General features: G+C 36.8%; 2 protein-coding genes across 29 annotated transcripts in view; one reads left to right on the top strand and one right to left on the bottom strand.

Annotated features, from left to right (window-relative positions):
• Positions 1-13,985, top strand: part of CRBN (cereblon) — a 30,085-nt gene extending 16,100 nt beyond the window's left edge. For 3 of the 6 annotated variants that reach the window (XM_005265202.5, NM_016302.4, XM_047448254.1), the window contains 6 exons: positions 7,337-7,399; positions 8,787-8,871; positions 9,543-9,658; positions 10,130-10,194; positions 11,031-11,162; positions 12,573-13,607. In XM_005265202.5, the coding sequence (XP_005265259.1) occupies positions 7,337-7,399; positions 8,787-8,871; positions 9,543-9,658; positions 10,130-10,194; positions 11,031-11,162; positions 12,573-12,753 (642 nt within the window). In that variant the 3' untranslated portion in view covers positions 12,754-13,607. 6 annotated transcript variants of the gene reach the window in all.
• The window catches only part of TRNT1 (tRNA nucleotidyl transferase 1), a 26,496-nt gene continuing 11,380 nt past the window's right edge, over positions 10,183-25,298 (bottom strand). For 3 of the 23 annotated variants that reach the window (XR_007095685.1, XR_007095686.1, NR_159934.1), the window contains exons 4-10: positions 22,970-23,108; positions 18,908-19,034; positions 16,995-17,188; positions 15,915-16,168; positions 15,431-15,712; positions 14,385-14,524; positions 10,183-13,078 (exon numbers count right to left, since the gene is read on the bottom strand). Coding sequence is in view for 7 of the 23 variants with exons in the window: in XM_047448240.1 (XP_047304196.1) it covers positions 15,464-15,712; positions 15,915-16,168; positions 16,995-17,188; positions 18,908-19,034; positions 22,970-23,108 (963 nt within the window). In the remaining 16 variants the exon portion in view is untranslated. Of the gene's footprint in view, positions 13,079-14,384; positions 15,713-15,914; positions 16,169-16,994; positions 17,203-18,907; positions 19,035-22,969; positions 23,109-25,298 lie in introns of those variants that run through there. The other 20 variants (XR_007095687.1, XR_007095688.1, NR_159935.1 and 17 more) reach the window with 12 other exon arrangements.

Below are 25,298 nucleotides of genomic sequence, written 5' to 3'. Positions count from 1 at the left end.
TGACCTGCCTGTAGGATCCTGCAGTCTTAAACCTGAACTTGGGCTAAGCAAGTAAGACTGCTTTTTAAATTTATTTTTTATGTGAGTTACTACTTAAATTCTTCCTGTTCTATGGTTAAAGCATCTTGTTTACATTACATTCCGAATTTGGCCCATGCAACTGGGTTGCCACTGGCTTAATAAGACAAGAAAAGATAGAGCTGGGAAGACCAAAGAAGCACATATTTGCCTGGGTTCAGATCCTCTGAATTTTTCCTCTTGTCTTAATTAGCCCTTGGTTATTTTCATATTCAGAGTTGCCAAGGGCTAAAGAGACGATGCTAAGGAATGAGAAGGCCTAAAAGGTTTTAGGTGATACAAATAACTCCATCCCATATACGTCAGGTTATCTACAGGGTTCCCTTGCTTAAACATTGATAGAGTTTCTTAGGTTCTGAAATTTGGAATCTAGATCACTAGGCCAAGAGAAACCGCTAGCTGATCTATTTTGGACTCCAAGTGACCTACAAACTCTGTTCTGCTTTAGAGAGACCACTTAGAGCCATTCTGTGTGCATCAAAAAGGAATCCAACAGGGAAAGGGGATGGCAGATATCTTTGGTAGGAACTCCGTATGCAGTGGGACCATCTGAGTGGTTTGGCATGCTGCACCTTTAGTGGGACGCTAGCTTACCATGAGGGCTGGATTATGTAACAGTGTTTGTCTTTAGACAGATACAAGGTTCAGTTCATTCCTGTCTTCATAGAGCTTGCTTGTATCTGATTTGTCCATCCCACCATAATCTGAAGTACTGCATATGTGTCTTCTGTCTCTGTGTCTGAGTAGTAGTTAAAATGGTCAGAGTTGGGAGATGCTTACATAACTAAGCTAACTCAAGCTAATAAGGTTGCCGCGCACTTTTCCTGCAGAAAAGGAACTTAAAGTATCGAGGATTGTAGTCTTCCTGAGATATATTCAATTAACTTTGAAACTGCACACAGCATTTGCCGTGGAAACCTAAACAACTCAAATGACATGAAATAAAATTATTTAAGCTTCTGGAAGTGTTCTGTGTTATCTACCATTCTGACAAGGAAGCATTAGAGAAGATTCAGCACGTGTCTCTCATGATTAAGGAGTTAGGCCAGTGTAATTAGGAAACACTTTCAAAACCCACTCCATCTAGAGACATTTCTTGTTCTGGAATTTGAGCTCTGAAACTGTTTACTTCTTCTCCCATCACAGTGCCTTTCTCTATTCACTGGTTTACTGTAGGGGGATTTGAGAATCCCCCTACAGTAAAAATCCTCCTCAAAAAAAAAGAGGAAATTTTGTTTAAACCTGTTTGGAGTATGACTTAAATGTTTCTAAGTATATTCCCTGCTTGCCCAGACCATCTGCTTATTCATATATCAAGGCTTACTATGTTAATCAGAAAAGAGTTGAGTATGAAATGTAAAGATAAGTCAAATGGGAAACAGATACTAAGAAAGTAATGAGTCTCATCTTTCTGGCCTCTGTTGAACTTAGCCATGGTTGTTCCTGTTTATTGCGTAGAGCAGGGAGGAACTGAGCATGAATTTGGAAGGGCAGGGGTCTCATACGTAATCTCCCAGATTAGTGTTTAAATCTCCTCCTAATTTTATCTAGATACAAATGTTCTTATTTCTTTCTTATACAGAAGGATACGTACCTTTTTCTTAACGGTGTATCTTATAGGAGATTCTTTTGTATTAGTTTATAGAGCATTGCTCATTCTTAAAGCTGCTTGGAATTCTTTTGTATGGATACACTGTATAACCAGTCCCATACTGATGATAGATCTGTACTAAATAACATGTACAAATGACCTTTTATATAGGTAAATATTTATGATAACTTTTAAAGAGTGAGGTTATTGGCTCACAGGGTAAATGCATTTATAATTCTGTCAGTTTTAAAAATAATTTTGAGGCCAGGCACAGTGGCTCACGCCTGTAATCCCAGCACTTTGGGAGGCTGAGGCGGGTGGATCACAAGGTGAGGAGTTCAAGACCAGCCTGGCCAAAATGGTGAAACCCCGTCTCTACTAAATATACAAAAATTAGCCGGGCATGGTGGCGGGTGCCTGTAATCCCAGCTACTTGGGACGCTGAGGCAGGAGAATCACTGGAACCCGGGAGGCGAGTTATTTTCAAAATACTTAAGGTGTTTGTACTTATTTTTATTGTTTCATCATGGCCTGACAGGCAATGTAGTATCAAACCTGATGTTTGCTGATCTGATAAGTGAAATATATTACATTGAAGGTTCAATTTGAATTTCTCTGAGAGCAAGGGTAAGCATTTTGTTGTAAGAGCAGTTTGTGTTTCCTTTCTGTAAAGTGTTTGCCCATTTTTCTACGGCTTGTTGATTTCTTGGGAGTTCCTTGTAAGCTTTATAGTCTCTGTAATTAATGAGTTCCAAACATTTTTCCTAGTTTGTCTTTTGTCTTTTGTTTTTGGTGTGGTGTGTCAAACAGAACTGTTTTTTTGTTGTTGTTCTTACATAGTTTAATTTTTAATGCTTCTGTATTCTAAATCATAGCCAAAAATGACGTTCCCATGCAAAGGAATGTCTCATGTTTTCTTTGGATACTTGCTGTGGTTTCATTACTTTTCCGTGGAAAGCTCTGATCCTTGTGCAGTTGATCCTGATATAAATTCCACTTTACTTTTTTCCAGATGGCTCCCTATTGTCCTACTACCACTTTTTGAATAGTCCATATTTTCTCCCATTGATTTGAGATGCCACCATTGTCACAGACCAAATTCATATGTTTATTTTACTTTTCTTCTCTTTTGGTCTGCTTGTGTGCCATCATCATATTGTTGTTAATGTTGGCACTTTATACTTTGTGTAAATAAAAATAGGGCTGGTAAGCCCCTCACTGCTTTTTTGTCAAGCTTTTCAGTGACTACCATTGATTAACATTTCCTTGTGAACTTGAGAATCTGTTTCACCTTGTTCCAGGATAATAATCGTAAGAACAGTAACATTTATTGACTATTTTTATATAAAGAAGAAAAGTCTTGAAATCTTAGGCTATGTATAGTCAGGTGCTTCCTCAGAAAGACTGGTCATTTCCCAGGCATACATCTTGTATGTACACTTGTGTATCTGCCATTAGCGTATAAGCCTCAGGAGTAGGAAAGAGCTTATCATTCCATCCCAGTTCTTATTACCATGTAGGAATTTGGTTCATGAAAGAAGGAAACAAAAACTGGTAACTTTTTAATTATTTATATAAATTATTTCTGTCATTTACATTGCTGATTGTAATAGGATTTAACACAATAAGTGACCACTTTTAGTCACTATATAAAGGAAGTCAGTGGTAGTGATTTACTATTTATGTTTAGCTTTTCACATTACTCTTTCCATTTTCATTGCACTTCAAAGACTCACTTAAATGGAGTTTCACATGTTTTGAACATTCTACGTTGTTGGGAGGCAAAGCCGAAGCCATAGTTATGAGGCTTAAGAATGGAGGACTGTGATAGATTACCTCCAGGTAACAGATTCGTTTTAAGGGCTTTTATGCCTGCTTTCAGTAGTAAATCCTGTTCCCAGAGTGAATACTACTCTGCTGGAGAATCCGTCATTGGTCACTTTTAAGTGCCTAAACTTTTTGGCTAGTATTAAAATTTTCTTGAGGTATAACCATTTTATGACATCAATCATGGTGTTGATATATTTAAAGAATGCCTATAAATTGCTAGAACTTATCATCCATTTTACCCAGATATAAGACAGGAGCCTTTCCTATTGTGCCAGAAAGCTAAATGGGACTCTTAAATTTGAGGATGTTGAAATGTCTTAAACTTTGGCAGTTGCTCTGTAAAAGCTAGCTAGCTAATCTGTTCTGGTATATGTCTCTTCAGTGTGTCTAATTGACTAACACACATCACAAATATTAAGGATGTATTATGCATATTTGAATCTGTCAGGATGCTCCAGATAAAGAATTTTAGAGGTCTTCTGACTCTGAAAAGAAGCTACCTGAAACTGTAGCTTGCTCATGGGCATGGTGGCAGAGTGAATGCCTGATCCAGTGCATTGCTCTTAATATGCTAGTGTGCCACATTTTATTCTCTTTATACTTGAAATTTACATATTATTTCAGATTCTTTTTCTTGACATGGGTGCCAAATGAAATTACACTTTTGTACTACACTTTTTTACATTTCTTTTGTATTACAAAAGTGACCATTCTGATATGTGAAGTATATTTTAATAACTGAATGAGGAGTGTGTCAGCGAAACTAAAACTTTCAGTTGGGTCTTTGTCATTTTGTAATTCTAAGAATATATAGCTTCTTCTCTCTAAAATATAAGCTCGACAGGGTATTGAATTTTGTTGGTTTTTCTTTCATTCACTGGCATAGCCTAAATGTATAAAAATAGCCTGACACATGTTAGGCACTGTATTAGTCTGGTCTCACGCTGCTAAGACGTACCCAAGACTGGGTAATTTATAAAGAAAAGAGTTTTATTTGACTCACAGTTCAGCATGGCTAGGGAAGCCTTAGGAAACTTACCATCATGGCAGAAGGGGAAGCAAACATGTTCTTCTTCACATGATGGCAGGAAGAAGTGCCAAGCAAAAGGGTCAAAACCGTCTTAATAAAACCATCAGATCTCGTGAGAACTCACTATCATGAGAAAACCATGGCAGTAACTGTCCCCATGATTCAGTTACCTCCCACCAGATCCCTCCCACGACACATGGGGATTATGGGAACTACAATTCAAGATGAGATTTGGGTGGGGACACGGCCAAACCCTATCAGGCACTCACAATATTTGTTGAATGAATGATGGTTAGAGTCAGACTCCCTGTATACAGATCCTAGCTCCTTCCTATTTACTGACTCTGTGACCTTGAGCAAGTTATACCATCCTTGTGTGCCTCTGTTTCCTTACTTTAGAATGGAGATAATAAACTACTAACCTTAGAGTATTCTTACAAGAAATGTGAAATTCTTGGCACAATACTAATGGTTGCCATTGCTGTTCCTGAAGATTCAGAGCTACTTGATGTGCTCTTGGTAGTATTTTCTTAAATTCTGTAACTGGACTGTGACAATAATCTTACCATTAGGTATTTAGTCTTAAAAGTGAGGGACAACTTATTGGAGAGTACCTGAAGGGTCTCATGGTCTGACTCCTCAGGCTTTAACCACTACCAGAGCACACAGTAGGAGGCCATCTCAGATCACCTTTGGCAGGGGTCCCCAAATCCTGGCCCACGAACCAGCACTGGTCTGTGGCCTGTTAGGAACCGGGACGCACAGCCGGTGGTGAGTGGTGAACGAGCAAGTGAAGCTGAGCGCCACCTCTTATCAGATCAGTGGCAGCATAGATTCTTATAGGAGCGCAAACCCTATTGTGAACTGCGCATGGGAGGGATCTAGACTGCGTGCTCCTTATGAGAATCTAATGATAAATGTAATGCACTTGAATCATTCCAAAACCATCCTCCACCCCATCTTTGGAAAAACTGTTTTCCACGAGACTGGTCCCTGGTGTCGAAAAGGTTGGGGACGGCTGATCTTTGCATAGTCTCAAATATAAGGATTATATTAAGCCAGAAATGTTTCTCATTAAGGAATCCTTTGTTTTGAGCTGTAGGTCGTGTTTTAGAACAAGTCTGTCCTCTTCCATATTGCAACTCCTAAAATATTTGAAAACCAGTGTGTCCACTTGAGAGACAGCTCTAAACTGAACATCTCTGGTAACAAGACATTCCCTTTGATAATAAAAGTTCCCATATTTGAACAGCATGGAATAGAATAACATTGTCTCATAGATTCTAGTCTTCTGTTAAAACCGCAGTTACTTTTGCACCAAACTAACATAGCTAGAATAGGATTGGAGTGGCGGGGAAGTCGAGGGTGTGAGTGGTGTAGCACATTGTACAGTTGCGTAGTACAATTCCAGCTGTCAGCTCAGTCCCGAGTCCCTTTTATGTGTGCTGTGTTCCCACGTTTCCTGCAGATCTTACTCCGGCACTTGCAAGATCATATGACTAGGTATGAAACATACCTAGGGTAAGTATCATTCAGCGTATGAAACATACCTAGTCATTTGATATTGCAGGTGCAGGAGTAGGGTCTTCCTCTTGTTTTGTTAAATGTTACCTTGTTTTTCTTGTTCTGGTCTGTTAAAAGTGCCTTTTGATCTACCTTATTCCTTTTCTCTCTCACTTTCATGTGTCATGTCACATGTCAATTAACATTTTATTTACAGTGAAATTACAAAGATTTGTACGTATGTAGGTTTTGTTTTGAGAAAAATGTGATAATTCTTTATATTCTGCTATACCTTGTTCTTTGATCACTTGCAGAGCATTCCTTGATATAAACATATTCTAATGTATTTCACTCTATTTTTGATTGATGTTTAGGTTGTTTGCAATTTGTTGCTATTAGCACTGCTGCAGTGCATCCCTTCAGTAATATTTTTGTGTCCTATAGACCATTTGCTTCTCTTTCAAAAATTTTGTGGTTACTTTTGCAGTTATGTTTCCAAACGAACTTTAAATTATACTTATAAATTCCATTCTCACTGGTATTGCACTGAATATGTAATTTGAGGACTGACATCTTAACAGTATTGAGTCTCCCCCTCAAATACTGAAATTCTACAATTTCTACAATTCACATTTCTCCCCCTCAAATACTGAAATTCTACAATTTCTACAATTCACAATTCAACTGAAATTTCTACAATTCACATTTTTATATGGACTTAGGCATGCTCCTGTTTGGATTTCAGTTACAATTAGAGGTGATAAATAATCGGTTTCCCCTCTCCTTGAGTTTTATGAAATGAGGAACTTCATCATGAAGTCTCAAGTAAACGAACATTTTATCTTTCTTGGGATTCTATCACTTCTTAATGTTTGCCCTTATAGTGATTCAGCTGATTCTCATTTAAAGTTTTTACACAAAAACAGTTTGGATTATATCTTGAGGTTTTCACTTCAGATACTGGACAAGTAATTAGTATAAAGGCAACTAACATGGTCATAATAGAAGTATGGTGTTTACTCTCAACATTTATCTTCCCAAAGTTGTCTTCAGCATTGAAATTTTAATGTTTGACCTTTTTAAATAGGAATGAAGATTCTAGTTACAATATATATTTGAAGGATATAGGAAGCATGATTTCACACTTCATAGATAGTCACGTCATGGGATTATCTACAAAATTTTTTATCTTTTTAAAATTAGATGTTTTCCTAGGCCAAAATCATTTTTCAGATGTTGCTCATTCCAGCATTAGAATCTTTATTCTGTGGGGTTTTTTAAGTGCCTTTTTGTTTTGTTTTCAGAGAAAGTTTCATTGTGCAAATCTAACTTCATGGCCTCGCTGGCTGTATTCCTTATATGATGCTGTAAGTAACTTACCTTAAATTTACTTTATATATGGTAGGCCATGTCATAATTAAGGGTCATTAAAAAACAAAGGTTTAGTTTTTCCAGTTTCTAGTGCCTTATAACTTAAGATATCGTTAAGAGTGGTGGCTCACACCTGTAATCCCAGCACTTTGGGAGGCCAAGGCAGGGGGATTGCTTGAAGCCAGGCATTCAAGACCAGCCTGGGCAACATGGTGAAACCCCATCTCTACAAATACAAAAATTAGCCAGGTTTGGTGGCATGTGGCTGTAGTCCCAGCTGCTTGAGAGGCTGAGGTGGAAGGATTGATTGAGCCTGGGAGGTCAAGGCTGCCGTGAGCTGAGATTGTGTCACTGTACTCCAGCCTGGACAACAGAGCAAGACTGTCTCAAAAGGGAAAAAAAAAGGTATCACAAGACTCTTTAGAGTTTTATTAAGCATGTGAAATTTTGTTGGGTTGGGTGATAGTTACATTTAGAACATTAAAGCATCCATATTTTACTGTTTTGGTTTTTCTCTAAACAAGTATATTAACTTACGTCTCTTGATCATTAGTCTATTAATTAATGCATCCAGGAGGGTTTTTGCTCCTTAAAGTTTAACACTAGGCATTGCCACATTTTGCAAAACTAAGGGACAGTGCTGAAATGGTTTAAAGAATCTGGATTTCAGATCAGAGACTGACTTCAGAGTCTGATTTCTGTCACTTACTCTGTGGGCCTGGAGCAAATTACTTCTCCAAGGACCTATGAAATGGATATAATGGTAGCTATTGTACCTGGTGTGCATAGCGGGCATTCAATAAATGCTAGCCATTTCCCTTAATGAATCACTGCCCACAAATCTGGAGTCCTGGGAAAACTCAACAACATGCACGACACTAAAGGAAACTGCAGTTGATCTCCGCTCTTTAGCAGCTTTTCAGCAATTACAAAGACACAATATATGAGTTTTTGCATGTTTTGCATATGCTTGTGAAAATTATGTAGTAAATAGGTGCCAAGTAAGGTATGTAGATAGCAAGTGCTAGTGCAATTTATAGGTGCCATAATCCCTATGGACTGGGTCAGAAATGGCCTAATAGAAGGCAGAAGAGAGGCCAGTTCCAAGCAGGGGCATAGAACAGAACAATCTGCAAGGGAGTTGGGAGCATATACCGCTGGGTTAAGACAGTGAGTGAGAAAAGGCTGGAAGGCAGACAGTGCTGGGCAAAGGAGCTGGAGCTTGATCATTGCTGCATACGAAAATGGAGGCATTTAAACTGGGACTGAGATGGGACTGAGTGATTAAATTGCTACCAGTGTTAGTTTTAAGAGTTGAAAAGCTTAATAGTAAATTTTAATAAGCCCATGAACTTGATTATGGCTACCTTTATTTTAAACAAGGAGACCTTAATGGACAGAATCAAGAAACAGCTACGTGAATGGGATGAAAATCTAAAAGATGATTCTCTTCCTTCAAATCCAATAGGTATGAAAAGTTAGTTTCCTGCCTGGAGCCTGGGATGTCTTGCTATAAAAAATAGCTTTTTCATGGATGCGATCCAATCATATCTTCTAGGTTTTAAGACTGATTAAAACATTTTAATTCTGAAAAGCATAATTTCCTTTGAGCAGTTGAAAAAAAATGAGTATTTTAAAATTAATTGCAATAAAATCCTCATATTCTGTGAGCACTCCAATTTTAGACAAGTTTTCCATAAAAAGTTCAAATTGCAGGAAGTGGCTGTCATCCAAAAACACTTCCTGTGTAAGGACTCCTTTCCCTGTTCTTCAAGGTGCCTTTAAAAGAAGTGAGTCTAGTTCCAGGACTTGCCTTAATTATAGATACTCTCTTTATCTGTTTATAAGGTATAGTTTAGTTATTTTTCTAGTCTCTTGGCAAATAACTTCTAACATGGATTTGAGTTCATGTTTAACATAAAAGGATTTTACCAAAAAAAGTATAAGAAAAGCAATTAAATTTAGAGCTTCTGAAAAGTGTATCTTTGACAGCTGGTATATTTTTGTATTGTTTATACTTGTATAAAATGTGTAACCTTAAAGAGAAGGGTTTATTTCAAAAGGATATTATCCGATTTGTAAGTTCTCTGATGCTTATCTGACTCCTAAGTTTAAAACTTGAAAAACCATGTCTTGAAGATTTTTCTTACAGAGTAGCTGCTTGTCTTCCTATTGATGATGTATTGAGAATTCAGCTCCTTAAAATTGGCAGTGCTATCCAGCGACTTCGCTGTGAATTAGACATTATGAATAAAGTGAGTAAAGTGAATATGTTTTTGATGCCCATGTTTTATTCAGGCTGGAGAACTAGGATGCTCTGTTGGGGCCAATGGAGCTCTGTATAGAGTCCAGTAATGTAGTCATGCAATTCAGATTTCAATTGGGATCTTACAAACAAACTCATTGTTTTGTGTTTGTCAAATATGAATACATTTATCAACTTAGTGAAAAATAACTTGATTTCTGCATGGAAATATCCAAGGTTATATATCACTATTCCTTTACTCTAGAGAAGGTCATTTAGTTTTATGTAAATATGTGGCAGATCTCAGTTTCAGTGACTTTCGTGCTCCATCTTTAAAAGTGTTTTTGAATGCTTGGAAGGAAAATGTGATATTCAGAGAGAGCAATATCTTTATAAGTAAGTTTCTTGATGATCTATGTGATTACATGATAAAGTGAATGCCAGTTTTTCCTACCAATAATTTTTCTCTCAAATCTTTTAGTGTACTTCCCTTTGCTGTAAACAATGTCAAGAAACAGAAATAACAACCAAAAATGAAATATTCAGGTAAGGTCTTTATTACGTTTTTAATATACTTGCCTTATCAGAATTATAATGAAGACTGTATTTCTGTTTTCCATAAACTTTCCTCCAGTACCTTAAAGTTACAAACATTTAGCAAATGAAATATAGGGAATTAGCTCACTTTTGCTAAGACCATCTTCCAGATTGGGTACTCAGAGCAACAATGCATGTCAGGGATTATTCACAGGTAATGAGCATGGTAAAGTAAAACAACTGAGAAATTCTTTTCCCCCTAATTCTTGTTGACAATCTATATATTAGACTGTCTTCAATTAGGCCCTAACATAGATGCTTCAGAAATTACATTTCAGTCATCAGTTTTGCCATATAGGGCCAAAGTAGGACATGCTTCTGAACACATACTGATGCTCTGATATAACAGTGTTTGAAAATCATTTTATGACAAATCCATCAGTTGTAAATCAAGAAGGTAAGGAAACTGCTTTCTGCAAAATAATCAACTGCCCCAAAATGACCACACAGGACCTTGTCATTGCACTTACACTCTCAGACTCCTTTAGAAGCATTTGAGTTTTATATTCTTTACAATGTCTGTCTTGAGGAGGGTTTTAAAAACAAGTACTATTTCCTTTGGGTCATCACAGAAAACATTTAGACATTTAGACAAAACAGGCCTGTCTGCCAGCTGTACCCCCACCCCATTTTCATACTAAGATCCTGGTATTATATAAAACTGAAGGATTAAAAACTGTATAGCTCATACCTCATTTCTTGGTGAACTTCAATAAAATTCTAAGCATTTAATAAAATTAGACTTCTCGTTTTGACGTGTTCTCCATGTTGATTCTTTGTTTTAGTTTATCCTTATGTGGGCCGATGGCAGCTTATGTGAATCCTCATGGATATGTGCATGAGACACTTACTGTGTATAAGGCTTGCAACTTGAATCTGATAGGCCGGCCTTCTACAGAACACAGCTGGTTTCCTGGGTAATATTATGGTGGTGGTTGCTTTTTTTTTTCTTTTTTTACCTTAATTGGGCAGAAAAATCCAGAGTCCTAAGCAGAGTTGCCACAATCTTTATAATAAAAAGTAGACAGACAAATGAGTAATTTGCTACAAAAATTAGCCGGGTATGGGGGCAGGGGTCTGTACTCCCAGCTGCTCGGGATGCTGAGGCACAAGAATCTCTTGAACCTGGAAGGCAAGAGTGTTGCAGTGAGCCAAGATTGTGCCACTGCAGTCCAGCCTGGGTGACAGAGTGAGAATCTGTCTATTTAAAAAAAAAAAAAAATTTATTTAAATGTCCTTCATTCCACAAATAGCTAGAAACATCTGTTGCACTTTTTGTATCTTTTATCATTGAATGAAAGGAAGAAAAGGTTGACAACTGCAGTTGTCCTCAGATTACTGTATCCAGTTAAATCCAAAATTGTTTTTTTCTGTCAGTCATGTAATTCTGAAAATCAGCTGTCTTATGACCCAGTAGAACTTTATATCTGGACCATATTCTGTAGTAATGTAAAACCGGAGAATGTTTACAAAGCAATGATAGACTAAGAAGGTGCAGAACCCATTGAATCCTGCTTTTCTTCTAGTTTGCCTTTTGTTTGTTTGCTTCAGCTTAATGATTCTCTATGATCCTGGGAACCTGTTCAGTTCCCTCAGCTGTACTATCTTCAGTTTTCAAAGAGGGATGCTAAGAAGGGATTACATGCTACTCTGGGGTTAGGACTATGTATCTTGGATTGCCCTATCTTACTTGGCACCCTATGTGAGGACTAAAACTAGAATACATTTGTTACTATAAATAAATGTGGCATGGTATACCTAGGGAAAAAAATAAGGAAACAGTTGCAATTACATGGTTTATCTTAAGAACAAAATACCATGGTTTGTATTTCTGGTTGCATTATCTGACAATCGTTCTTATTTTAGAATATAAATATTTACTTTTTGAGACGTGTCCTTCCTGGCCCATCCAGTTTAACTCAGACAGAAGTGCATTATTTCTGCAGGTAATTGCTGTTTTCTAACTTGACTGCAATACAACAAAGGAAAAGCCAGTACAAGTTAGAATGTGGTGCCAGTACAAGTTAGAATGTGGTCTTGGCAACCAGCAATTTCTATAAAGAAATTCTTAAGATTACTCTTTATTTCTATGCAGTAGAAGAAAAATGTAAACATGGCTTAAGAGCATAAAAGTCATACATATTACAAAATTAGAAAATGTTTTTAGAAATGTTTTTAGGTTTCAGGGAACTGTATGGATCAAATCTCAACTTAGAATCTCTAATCCTTAGAATTTGCCTCTAAAGTCTGTCTTCATGATAGGTTTATATGATAGGCTTGGAGTACAGAAATGTTTCCTTAGCTGATATCTTTCCTTAATTTCTTAGGTATGCCTGGACTGTTGCCCAGTGTAAGATCTGTGCAAGCCATATTGGATGGAAGTTTACGGCCACCAAAAAAGACATGTCACCTCAAAAATTTTGGGGCTTAACGCGATCTGCTCTGTTGCCCACGATCCCAGACACTGAAGATGAAATAAGTCCAGACAAAGTAATACTTTGCTTGTAAACAGATGTGATAGAGATAAAGTTATCTAACAAATTGGTTATATTCTAAGATCTGCTTTGGAAATTATTGCCTCTGATACATACCTAAGTAAACATAACATTAATACCTAAGTAAACATAACATTACTTGGAGGGTTGCAGTTTCTAAGTGAAACTGTATTTGAAACTTTTAAGTATACTTTAGGAAACAAGCATGAACGGCAGTCTAGAATACCAGAAACATCTACTTGGGTAGCTTGGTGCCATTATCCTGTGGAATCTGATATGTCTGGTAGCATGTCATTGATGGGACATGAAGACATCTTTGGAAATGATGAGATTATTTCCTGTGTTAAAAAAAAAAAAAATCTTAAATTCCTACAATGTGAAACTGAAACTAATAATTTGATCCTGATGTATGGGACAGCGTATCTGTACCAGTGCTCTAAATAACAAAAGCTAGGGTGACAAGTACATGTTCCTTTTGGAAAGAAGCAAGGCAATGTATATTAATTATTCTAAAAGGGCTTTGTTCCTTTCCATTTTCTTTAACTTCTCTGAGATACTGATTTGTAAATTTTGAAAATTAGTTAAAATATGCAGTTTTTTGAGCCCACGAATAGTTGTCATTTCCTTTATGTGCCTGTTAGTAAAAAGTAGTATTGTGTATTTGCTCAGTATCTGAACTATAAGCCCATTTATACTGTTCCATACAAAAGCTATTTTTCAAAAATTAATTTGAACCAAAACTACTACTATAGGGAAAAGATGCCAAAACATGTCCCCTCACCCAGACTAAACTTGATACTGTATTATTTTGTTCAATGTAAATTGAAGAAAATCTGTAAGTAAGTAAACCTTAAGTGTGAAACTAAACATGTTCTTTGTTCAAATAATGTAAAATATCTACTCATAATTTTAAAGTTCTAAAAAGGCTGCTTTGCCACCTACCTCTTTGCTTATATTCAAGGGTTTAGTGGGTCCTTCCTTCCACATTTGTATGATAACTTTCGTTTTATTGGTAGTCCTTTGCTACTTTAAAACTAATCAGGTTAAATGTTTACTCAAATGTAGTAATAGTATGAGGCCAAAATACATGCCTTGAAGGTGGAGTGAAATCAGTTGAGTGTCACACTGCATATTTATGTAAATAGAGTAAATGAAAATTCAAGAATACTTCCAATCAGGATATGCCCCTGCCTTATTTTTTCTAAGGTCTACTTTTACTACTTTAATAATTTTGGGTTTGTGTGACTTCACTGGTCTGGTTTGTTCCTATAGTTCTTACACTGCACTAAAACTTACTTACTCCAGGAAGTTCCTGTCAGTAGCATAGTACCTCTCTGTAGGCTGAACTCTAAACCAGTTGCAATGAGTTACCTTGTCCCTCTGAAAAGTTAAAATTTCAGTATGTCCCATACCGTTTACTAGCAAATAAAATTTTCTGATCTGTAAAAACACACATATACTATACTACTACTGAAAATGGTTTTACACATGACAAAACCAGACCTGATAGCTAAATCTGCATACTTTCTATACAGAAATAGTATGTATTATATGACGTTGGGTCTAAATCTGTATTTTGGCAGTACTTAAATATTTTAAGTAAGTATTTCAAAGTATTATTTTATAATGCATCTAATTACTGACCTGTATGCAGTCATTTCTGAGGCTTTCTTGCATCATAGCCCCTGTGACATTTCCTCTTAGAAATATTACACTCTACAAAATTGTTTTATCAAGGTCCAAAATTACTATTTGCTCATAGAGTACAAAGATGTTATGACTGGCTACACAGAAAGGAAATAAATTATGAAATGTCAGTATAGCAGCTGAAATTATAGCAGCTGAAATAAACAGTTTGTATTATACATTTTATTTACCTGATGAAAGCATTTAGGACTCAAATCTTTAGAGAATATATAATAATAGCCATATCCTTTTAATTAATAAAATAACACTTTAAAGACAGGCATATTACCATTGTATATGACACCTAATACACATTGTCAGATACCACATAAACATATTTATCTTCCAATACCAATGTTTGTTTTATTAAAACAATAATTAATTAATAGGCTCAATAGTGACCCTCAAGTTAATCCCATGACTTCCCCAGGCTCTGCATGCATAAAGAAATCATTGTGACAGAAAAATATCAACCACATACTGAAGCATAGCTTGCTAGAACAAATCCTGTACATATGAATGCCAGCAACTGGGGACACATTTAGTATTCACATTTTATGCAAACTTACTTGGTCAATTATTTCTTTTTTAAGCACAGGTTTATTTTGGAATTCAGATAAGAACTGACACATCATAGACAGTCATTGTTAAGGTAACCCTGTTATTTCAATTGCAAACAAACAATAAACGTTTTTTCTTCAAGACAGTTACCACTTTTTAAGATCTTAGTACTACCCTATGCAAAAACAGTTTTTTTTAAAAGCCTGAACAGGTTAAGATAGATAATAGCCAACTATGTTTTCTCAGGTGAAACTATTCCAAAAGAACTGTACATTTCAGTGATATAAATCAGATCCAGAAAGGTGGATCTCTGTTTAGTTCTTGAAATATATAATTCACAAAATAAGACCCTTGTTGTTCTACAGAGGTCCCCTAAACTGTCTTTTATTCTGGTGTAGTCTCTAAAACCTCATTAAGAGGGAGGGGAGAAAATTTAGTCTTACCAGAAATGCTCTGCTTTTTAGTAGCCATCAGTTTTAGGTCTTCTTTATGTAACTCAGAAGTTCATCTTTTTCCATTTGGTAACCACTTTTTTTCCACTGTTCTCGCAACTGTTGTAATAGAGCCCCAATTTCTTTTCCTGAAGAAATGCCCACTTTTCTGATGTCATGGCCACTTACAGGAAATGGAGGAATGGACCACTGCTGCATTTCCTTTAGGAGACAGTGCTCTCCTTGGTACTTCAGTAGTTCACATACACGAGTAGTTGCATCAGGTTCCCTAGACTACGTGTCAAAATCAAACATTTAGTTTCGTCACACATGAAAACATACACTTACAATCTTATCCTAAAATTTAAATACTCAACATAAATTTTTTCATTTAAAATAAGTAAAATTCACAGATTTGTAGATCTTAGTTTTAATAAATTAATTCTAAATTCGTGACGATACTTCATATTTCTGACCAAGCCTAGTATATACTTACATCTATAATGAAGTCTTGATAGGGTTTCAATGGGTCTGAACTATCTGTTGCTTTAATTAAATCTTTCCTATTTTTAACTATAAATAAGCCAAGGTTTTTCTCCTCTTTTGCGATCTTCAACCTCAAATCCAATTTTGTGACATCATCTTGTACTTTGAATAATGAGGCCAAAAGAGTCACTGGCTTTGGTGAAAAACCATCAACATTTTTACTGACTTTGTCAAATTCTTCTAAACTTGCATTAGCAGGTAAACCTGTAGGGACAAAAGCATTTTTCACCTGTTTTTAGTGGGGATAAAAAACCACTCATATCCTAAACCTTGCCACCATTTTAGTATCCAGAAATGCTTTGTCACTAGGATACATTATATAGGTTCAGTCTGATGTTCCAACTTAAAGGCGAACCACTAATATATTGTTATTCTCTCCCCTGTCACCTTCAAAACCTCTAAAATGTTCTTGTTTCCATTAAAGCTACATCAAGAGTTCCAGGGGTAGTGGTGACAGTGGTGTCAGACTCACAAGGCATACTCTTTCTAATCACAAATTCCTGACTTTACACTGATACAAGATCCACCCCCCATTCAGTAATGTTACTGAAATTTGAAATATGCCCAAGCTTACCGAAGTGTGATAAACCATATAATCCCACTATTCTCTGTGAAAATGAATTACAACGTTTACTGAACAATTTCTGTGTACAAGTCACTCTTCTAAAAGAGCTTTACATGTATTAACTCACTGAATCCTTTTAGCTTTCCTATTAGATAGAGGCTACATTACTTTTAAACCGCTTTTTTGGGTTAGAAACTAACCCAAGTTGCAAAGACTAGATAAGGGGCTGAGCTTCCTTCAAACCTAGGTCTGACTAGAGACTACTCTACAAGCACCACAAGCTGTCTTTGAGCTCTTCCCTACTCACGACAAAACTTACCCCATAACCCAAACTTTGTCTTATTTTAAAATACTCCATTTCTCCAAGAATTCTTCAACCAAATGAGTCAAACATTTTTTCCTTATGAAATTTGAAACCAGATATTTCACTGCCAAAAATTCAAACACTTTATAACTTGCTCTCACCTATATAAGGAGCCACATCAAGATCATAGATAAGGTGAATCAAATGATTTACATGGTTACCAACAAGAATTTTTTTCAGTTCCACCCAAATCCTTTCTCCTGATATTCCAGCCAAGCCTTTTGCATTTTCTGCAATTGCTTCCAAAGTCTCAGGATCATGGTCACCAGGTTTGTCTACAATTCTCCCATAAAACCTACAAGACAAAATCTTCACAGGGTATTACCTCTATATTGGCATATCACAAGCAAAATCTGTTTTTCATTTTTATTGGTACTATCCCATACATCTGCTTAATGAAAACAACATATAATTAGTTAGGTCTAGAAGGGACCTTAGAAAGCAACTGGTCATTTCTCCACCTCCTCTTTCTTTTCCCAGATAAGAAAACCCAGGATCGAATAAAATATAAGTAGCCTTTTTGAGGTTAGCAAGAACTAAAACTTCAAGGTCTCCACCTCACTTCCAAATTACTGACTCAAGACATTCCGAATGGTCATCAAATGCAATTCCTGAATTGGCACTTATACTAGATGAAAAAAAAAACAGCATTCTTGTAAAGGCAGCAAACCAAAACAAGACTGCAGTGCCTTAACAGAGTAGTCTGAATTCCTCAAAGCTTGCCTGTCTGTACACATTAGTACTTTCAAGGAAAACCTTCAAATACGACTCATCTAGTTGCGCACCCTGGAGTATATTTCGCGGAATCTTAGAACTGGAAGCCCTAACGTGCATGTGTTTCCCTCTCATGCCCTTAAAATTCTAATGAATTCATCAGCGGTCCAAAGTGATGCTAAATAAGTAAATTAATGCTAAATCTGGATTAGTGATACAAATACAGCTAAGTCTTAATCTATGTTCTATTATTTATAAGACAGACTACAAATACTCAAGTTTAGAGAAACTACATTGACAAAATATCCATGTTCTGTTATAGAATATTCTGAGAGCAATCCCAACCAGTGAAAAATGAATATTACTTGACATAAACTAGCCAATTCGGATAGTTTTTTAAAAAGGTTAGTGTGTGACATTTAAACATCATTGCTACCCACAAAACTAGTCATGCGTTTCATATTTACCAAGTTTATCCAAGATCTTCTTTTTTTTTTTTTTTTTTTTTGAGATGGAGTCTCGCTCTGTCGCCCAGGCTGGAGTGCGGTGGCACGATCTCGGCTCACTGCAAGCTCCGCCTCCCGGGTTCCCGCCATCCTCCTGCCTCAGCCTCCCGAGTAGCTCGGACTACAGGCGCACACCGCCATGCCTGGCTAATTTTTTGTATTTTTAGTAGAAATGGGGTTTCACCATGTTAGCCAGCATGGTCTCATCTCCTGACCTCGTGATCCACCCGCCTCGGCCTCCCAAAGTGCGGGGATTACAGGTGTGAGCCACCACACCCGGCCCATCCAAGTTTCGATTATGTCTTTATGCTTTGATTCTTTAAATCATATAACAGGTATTTCTTTTCACCAAAATCATTTTGTTGTGAACCATCACCGATTTCCATGACTACCTAAAACCGTAAGCTGTATGAAGGCGAACACTTTCACTCGTTCATTACCACGTTTAATGCACCTAACACAGGGATTGACCTGTGGTAAGCATTCAAACATCTGTGTAATTAATAAATCAATGGAGGAAATATCAATCAAAAAGAAAAATGGACATTTAAAAAGATGACTTAAAATTGTAGGAAAGATGACATAAAGTATATGTGCGTTCTGGGAATGAAAATACAATATGAAGTAGCTAAGTAATTTTCACTCATAAGTCATAGGGTGCTAGGTCTCCACTGGAGACAGACATTTGGGATGTCACCATTTTGTACACTGACCTGCTGTGGGTTTCGTATGACCACTGTTATGCTCTAGTCATGATATTAAAACTATCATTTTTTATTTTTAAAAATTCTTACCTGAAGTATCTTAAAATTCTAAGATAATCCTCTTGTATTCTCTGTTTAGCATGTCCAACAAATCTAACTTTCTTATTTTTTAAATCTTCATAACCATTAAAGTAGTCAAATAAAGTGCCATCAAAACCTATTCATTAGAAAAGGAGGGAGAAAAATCACTATTGGCAAATAAGAATTTGAAAACACAAGAAAATCAGCTAAACACTATCACAAACAGTAAAAATTCAGCAGAGTGAACAGTTATTAAAACACATACGTATTCATACATATCAACTATCAAATGGAAGACAATAAAAGACTGTCTTTTAGTCTGTTTAGCTGCATTTACAATTGCAACTAAAAAGATAATCCAAGAATAAACTAAACAAGAAATATGCAAAACTTGTATGAGGTGGAGTGGAGCCAACAAGACACCATACAAGCTAATTTTCACAATATGGGAAAATAATAGCCAAAATAAAATGGAAAAAATACGTAACAGGATTAACAGAAGAAACGAGGAAAATATTTTTAATCTTGGAATCTTTATAATCTTGAAGATCTTTCAAACTCAGCAAGAAAACAGAAAACGCAACACAAAAACAACAGGATTTTCGAAGAAATAATTGAATGACATAAAAAATGAAATATGCCTGTATGGCAGAAACTACTATCACACACAAAGTCATAAGTGACATTTTTGGAAAAATATATGTAAGTCCATATTTTAAAAATGGCTAATTTCCATAATATATAAAAGTTCTAATAAAAAGGCCACGTAAATAGAAAAATAGGCTACCTATAAAGGAAATATAGAAATCTCTTTAATAATGAAGATTTTCAACCTTAGTCATAAATCCTTTTTTTGTTCTTTGAGGCGGATTCTCACTTTGTCACCCTGGTTGGAGTGCAGTGGTGCAATCTCAGCTCACTGCAGCCTCCCAGGTTCAGGTGATTCTCCTGCTTCAGCCTCCCAAGTAGACCTGCCACTACACACAGCTAATTTTTGTATTTTTAGTAGAGACAGGGTTTCGGCAAGTGGGCCAGGCTGGTCTCGAACTCCTGACATCAAGTGATCTGCATGCCTCAGCCTCCCAAAGTGCTAGGGTTACAGGCATAAGCCACCATGCCCGGCCAGTAAATACCCATTTCCAAGATAGCGTCTTTCAGATCGGCAACGATGCAAACACTTGATAACAGTGTTAGCAAGGGTGTGGTTAAATGGGCAGTCCTGTTCATTACAGATCAGGAGACTTCACTGTAGAGCCTTTAAAACTTTGTGAATTTTGAACCATGTTAATCTATTAGCCATTCACAAAAATGGTAATAAACAAATGTTCTCATATGTTGAATGAAAAAAGTGACATAAAACTAATTTTATATATATGTACATAAAACCTCAAGTATTAATTAGTAGAGTGACCACTTCATACTGGTTTGCCTGAGACATTCCTAGTTTTAAAGTTGAAAATCATACATCCAAGGAAGTATTTCAAGCTCAGGCAAACTAAGACAGTTGGTTACCATGGAGACTTAAAAAAATAGAAAAAGGAATTTAGAGCCGAAACACAGACACCATTCAGCTCACCAAATGGGGAGGTCAGTGATCTATGAGATACTTCACTCTGTAGCATTACAGAAAAGAGGCACTGACAACTACTTATCAAAAATACCTCTTGGCTGTGTTTGAACTTGAATGTTCTCTGATTATCCCAAAAGCAACAGTACATTGGTAAGTTCACACTTAATGCTTAACTCTTTCCAAGCTGTTAATAGTTTTATATGCATAGTAACTTTTAAAAGGGAACCATCTTGACATACATGGCAAATTTCGAAGGCTCCAGATTCAAAAAGACATAAAAGAAAATGATAAAAAGAAAATATGTAAATAGGCAAAAATATGATCACAAAGTAGCAAATAATATGGTATATCCATCTTGGTGTTATTTCTCCTAATGAAGAGACTTGTAACCGTCCCTGGGGAACCTAAAGGCAAGATCAAAATTTGGAGGAAAAAATCATAGGAATATGATCAAAGCAAAAATAAGCGTTTGGGAAGCAAAGTAACCAACCATAAATGCCAGAACTATGAATGCTTGATCCAATAAGGCTTGGAAAAAGCCAGGATAGAAAACTACACAAAGCTTAGTAAGCATCATACTGGTGTGTATTTTGTTTTGCTCTGAATATCATCCTTTTAAAATACAGTAAATAAAAATATGAAATATGGTTGAGTTGCAGGGAATAATGTAGTGGTTAAGAATGTGACCTCTGGAGTCAGGCTGCCTGAGTTGGAATTCTGATCCTACACTTTACAAGCTGTGCAACTTTGGGCAAGTTACCATCGGTTAAATAGCAGTATCTGCTTCGCAGGGTTGTCAGGAGATTAAATTTACATAATGTGCTCAGAACAGTGCCTGACATGTTATAAGGGTTCAGTAAATGTCAGAAAATGATAGTACCAATAGGAACAACTTTTATTTTATAAACTAGGACACTGAAAAAGAGTATTAGTTTCTCTCTTTCAGTATGCTTATGAGAAGCCAGTTAGACAAGACTCTATATTGCACTATTTGGAGCAGCTTCCTCTATGAGTAAATATGAGAATAAATAAATACCTGGAGCTCTGACTACATTAACTGAGAGAAAAATGCACCAATTGGGCTCTCTATGGTCATATATTGCCTAGGCCTTGGAAACAAGCCAAAATCATGGTTCTCTGTGACTTAAACTAAGTTACTTAATATCTCTCAGTCTCAAGTTTCCTCTTCTATCAAGTGGGCTTAACATACTTTATGAAGTTTTTCTGAGAGTTTAATGAAATAAAGTATATCAGGTACCCAATGTTGTACCTAGAACCCAGTAGGTACCCTAGAAATTGTATCTGTCATTACTGTAATCAGCAAGAGATGCCACCTTAGCTTATAAACTTCTTGCCCATCTATGCATGAAGCAAATCCTATTACTTCATCCTTTTACCACTACTATTGCTACAAACTAGGTTATGAACAGTGGATGTTTCATCCTTTTTTAATCCAAAATCTTAAACATAAAGGGCTTGTCTTAACTTTAAAGTACAACATATGATGCATCAGTAATGTATCAAAACACTAACCTAATTCGTATCTAGCCCCCATATAATTCCCAGTGCTTTCATTAAACAAAAAAGTTAAGCTGAAATAAATAGGTTTCATCTTACATACCAACTCTGATTATTGATGATTCCTAGAATACAATGCTAAAAAAGAATCTGAGGTTGTGTGTAGGCTCAGCAGTAAAAAGTGCTGAAGTCATTCACCATTGTTTGCCAGGGAAGCAGAAGAAAGATTGAATAAACATGCATGAAAGATAGTGCAAAGGAAAAAGAATGATCCTGGGTGTGTGTGTGTGTAGATGTGTGTGGAGTATGTACATGTACCATGTGTGTGTGCACTTCTCTTCCCTGAAATCATGTTTATATGCAGTTAAGAAGTTAGCACTGACTGAGTGTGTACATGTGTCAGGCACTGTTCTAAGCATTTACAATTAACTCTCTTAAACCTCACAACAGCGGTACAAAGGAAGCCAATATTAATTAACGTTTTTGTTTTGTGGCTAGTGAGTGACGGAGTCAGAATTTGAACCCAGGGATTTTGGCTCCAGAGTCTATTCTTTTTTTTTGAGATGGAGTCTCGCTCTGTTGCCCAGACTGGAGTGCAGTGGCACAATCTCAGCTCACTGCAAGCTCCGCCTCCCGGGTTCACACCATTCTCCTGCCTAACAGCTGGGACTACAGGCAGCCGCCACCACGCCCGGCTAATTTTTTATATTTTTAGTAGAGATGGGGTTTCACCGTGTTAGCCAGGATGGTCTCGATCTCCTGACCCCATGATCCGCCTGCCTTGGCCTCCCAAAGTGCTGGGATTACAGGCGTGACCCACCGTGCCCGGCTGAGGGACTATTCTTTGAAGCAATCTGCTAAACCATCTCTTAGAAGAAATTAATGCAACTTCTCAAGTTGAAGAACATTTCCAGAATGTAGGTTTTACTTGAAAAGAAGGCATTCTGATAGACTCACAATATGGTTTTATCTGCAAATATTACCTAAAAACATAGAATTTATAGTGAGATCTCTGCGTTCCGCATCTTTCTGCCAGTCAGTTGTAAATTCTACCTCAGCATGTCTTCCATCAGTGGTGACATCAATCCGTAGTGTAGTAATCTCAAAATTTTCTTCATGAAGCTGCAATTAAATACATGGGGTTTTTGTTGTCATTTAAATTAGGTTTTCATACTACTGAATTGAAAAAAATAAGTTTTTGTCTTTATAAAGGGATGGTACTATAAGCCCTGACAGTTATAGTCTTTTTAACGTCAACTACCATACCTAAACATTGAAACAGAAAGATATCCACATTATTCAAAAACAGATCAAAAGACTGATTTTTTTAAAAAAAATCCATCATGATTAAAAAAGATGAGTTTAACACACAAACATGTCACCTCTGCCAAGTGATGTGGAGAAACTCCACATCAAACTCAAAACTGTTCTTCAATTTCAAATCAAGCTATTATCAGAAATATTTTTAATAGCTCCAGTTTGCAAAGAGGTGAATGTCAATTTATGGAACATTTGCCATTGAGCGAAAGACTGATAAAGAATAAGTACAGTTAACAGATCTTGCAACTCCCTTACTGATAATCCCCAGTGAAATTAAAATAAAGGCTGGGGGTGGTGGCTCATGCCTGTAATCCCAGCACTTTGGGAGGTCAAGGCAGGCAGATGACTTGAGCTCAGGAGTTCAAGACCAGCCTGGGCAAGATGGTAAAACCCCATCTCTACCAAACATACAAAAAAACCAGCCAGGTGTGGTGGTGCATGCCTGTGGTCCTAGCTACCTGGGAGGCTGAGGTGGGAGGATCGCTAGACCCCGGGAGGCAGAGGCTGCAGTGAGTCGAGATCACACTGTGCACTCCAGCCTAGGCAACAGAGTGAGACCCTGTCTCAAAAGAGAAAGAAAGAAATTAAAATAAAGAGTTACCTCTATCTTGGGAAGACAGACTACCTCCAGCTGGGGAAGCTGAGTAACTTCATGTTAGGGTGGCGTCTGTGCCAAGCCTTGAAAAAGCAGCAGGGTTTGTACATGCAGGTGTGGTAGAAAAACTTCAAATGAAGAGAAGAGATGACCAAAGGCACGGTGGAGGAAGAGGAATATATGTAAAAGAGAAAGTATATCTGACAGGTAGCATATTAGCATTTAGGAGTAGAGAATAAAGTGTTTTATGTGCCAAGAGTTAGGAATGTCTTTATTTAGGAAGTGAAAGCCGTTAACGATCACCAGAAGTCTGTTGTAGGATTTCTCTCAATTTGATACATACTCTTCTCTAAATACAAGCTACATCTATCTCTCACTATAGAATTCCAGAACTCAAGAATTTGAGGCACAAGTATCTCTGAAGGCAAAGAATAAGGTAAGGTTTGAAATAGGAAAACTGTTTGCAACTCATTTTAAGAAATAATCAGACCCACCTAGAATGACTCCCTTAATGAGGCAGAAAACCAGGGACTGATTCTCTAGAAAGGTTCAACCAAAAATAATCAGAACTTGTTGCACCAGGCACAGATGCTCATGGGAATGAAGCATCATAATGAAAACAAGATTCAAGTGAAAATTAACATGACCCTCATCCCTTTCCCTACTTGGTTTCAAGATGCTAACAATCAGGTTCATTCCCTGGCATAATACTGGAGTATTCTTCTCTGATTTCTCCTAATGAAAACTCCTACTGAGACTTAGACTGGGAGTCCCAGTTGGCTGACACTTCCCATGCAAAACTACAATAAAGCCCTCAGATACAGAGCATCACCCAAATTCAAGGAAAGCCAACCTGAAAGAAAACACTCGGAGGAAACAAAGACACTGTCAAAATAACTATAGTAGATATCCTAAGAGAAATAAAAGATCTTCCATCTGAAACATGAACGGGAAGCTTTCCAAAGAAATATACTAAGAAAGACCTCTTGAAATTCTACAAGACCACAGAAGTTGTCAGTATTATACAATGACTGGGAGATGAAGTTAAGGCACTCTCATAGAAAGTAAGACAGGAGAATATAAAATAAAGACAAAAGATAAAACTAGAAGGTCAGTCCCAGCAATCCAGGATCCAAATAATAAGAGTTTCCAAAGGAAAAAGCATTTAACAAAAGGGATGAAATTATGAAAGAAACATGAGGGCCCACTAAGTGCCCTGCACAGTAAGTGAAAAATCCAAAACAAGTTATATCATCTTGAAATTAAAAACATTAGACATGAAAAGATCAGAAAGACTTCCAAAAGGAAATAATGGCAATCAGGTTTTTAAACAAAAGAGAAATCTAAATGGAACTAGACTTACTGGCAGTACTGGAAGCTAGAAAACAATACCTTTA

Source organism: Homo sapiens, chromosome 3, assembly GCF_000001405.40.
Source record: "Homo sapiens chromosome 3, GRCh38.p14 Primary Assembly".
Classification (NCBI taxonomy): domain Eukaryota; kingdom Metazoa; phylum Chordata; class Mammalia; order Primates; family Hominidae; genus Homo; species Homo sapiens.
The sequence above is the reverse complement of the archived record's forward strand: the minus strand, read 5'-3'. Positions and strand labels throughout refer to the sequence as shown.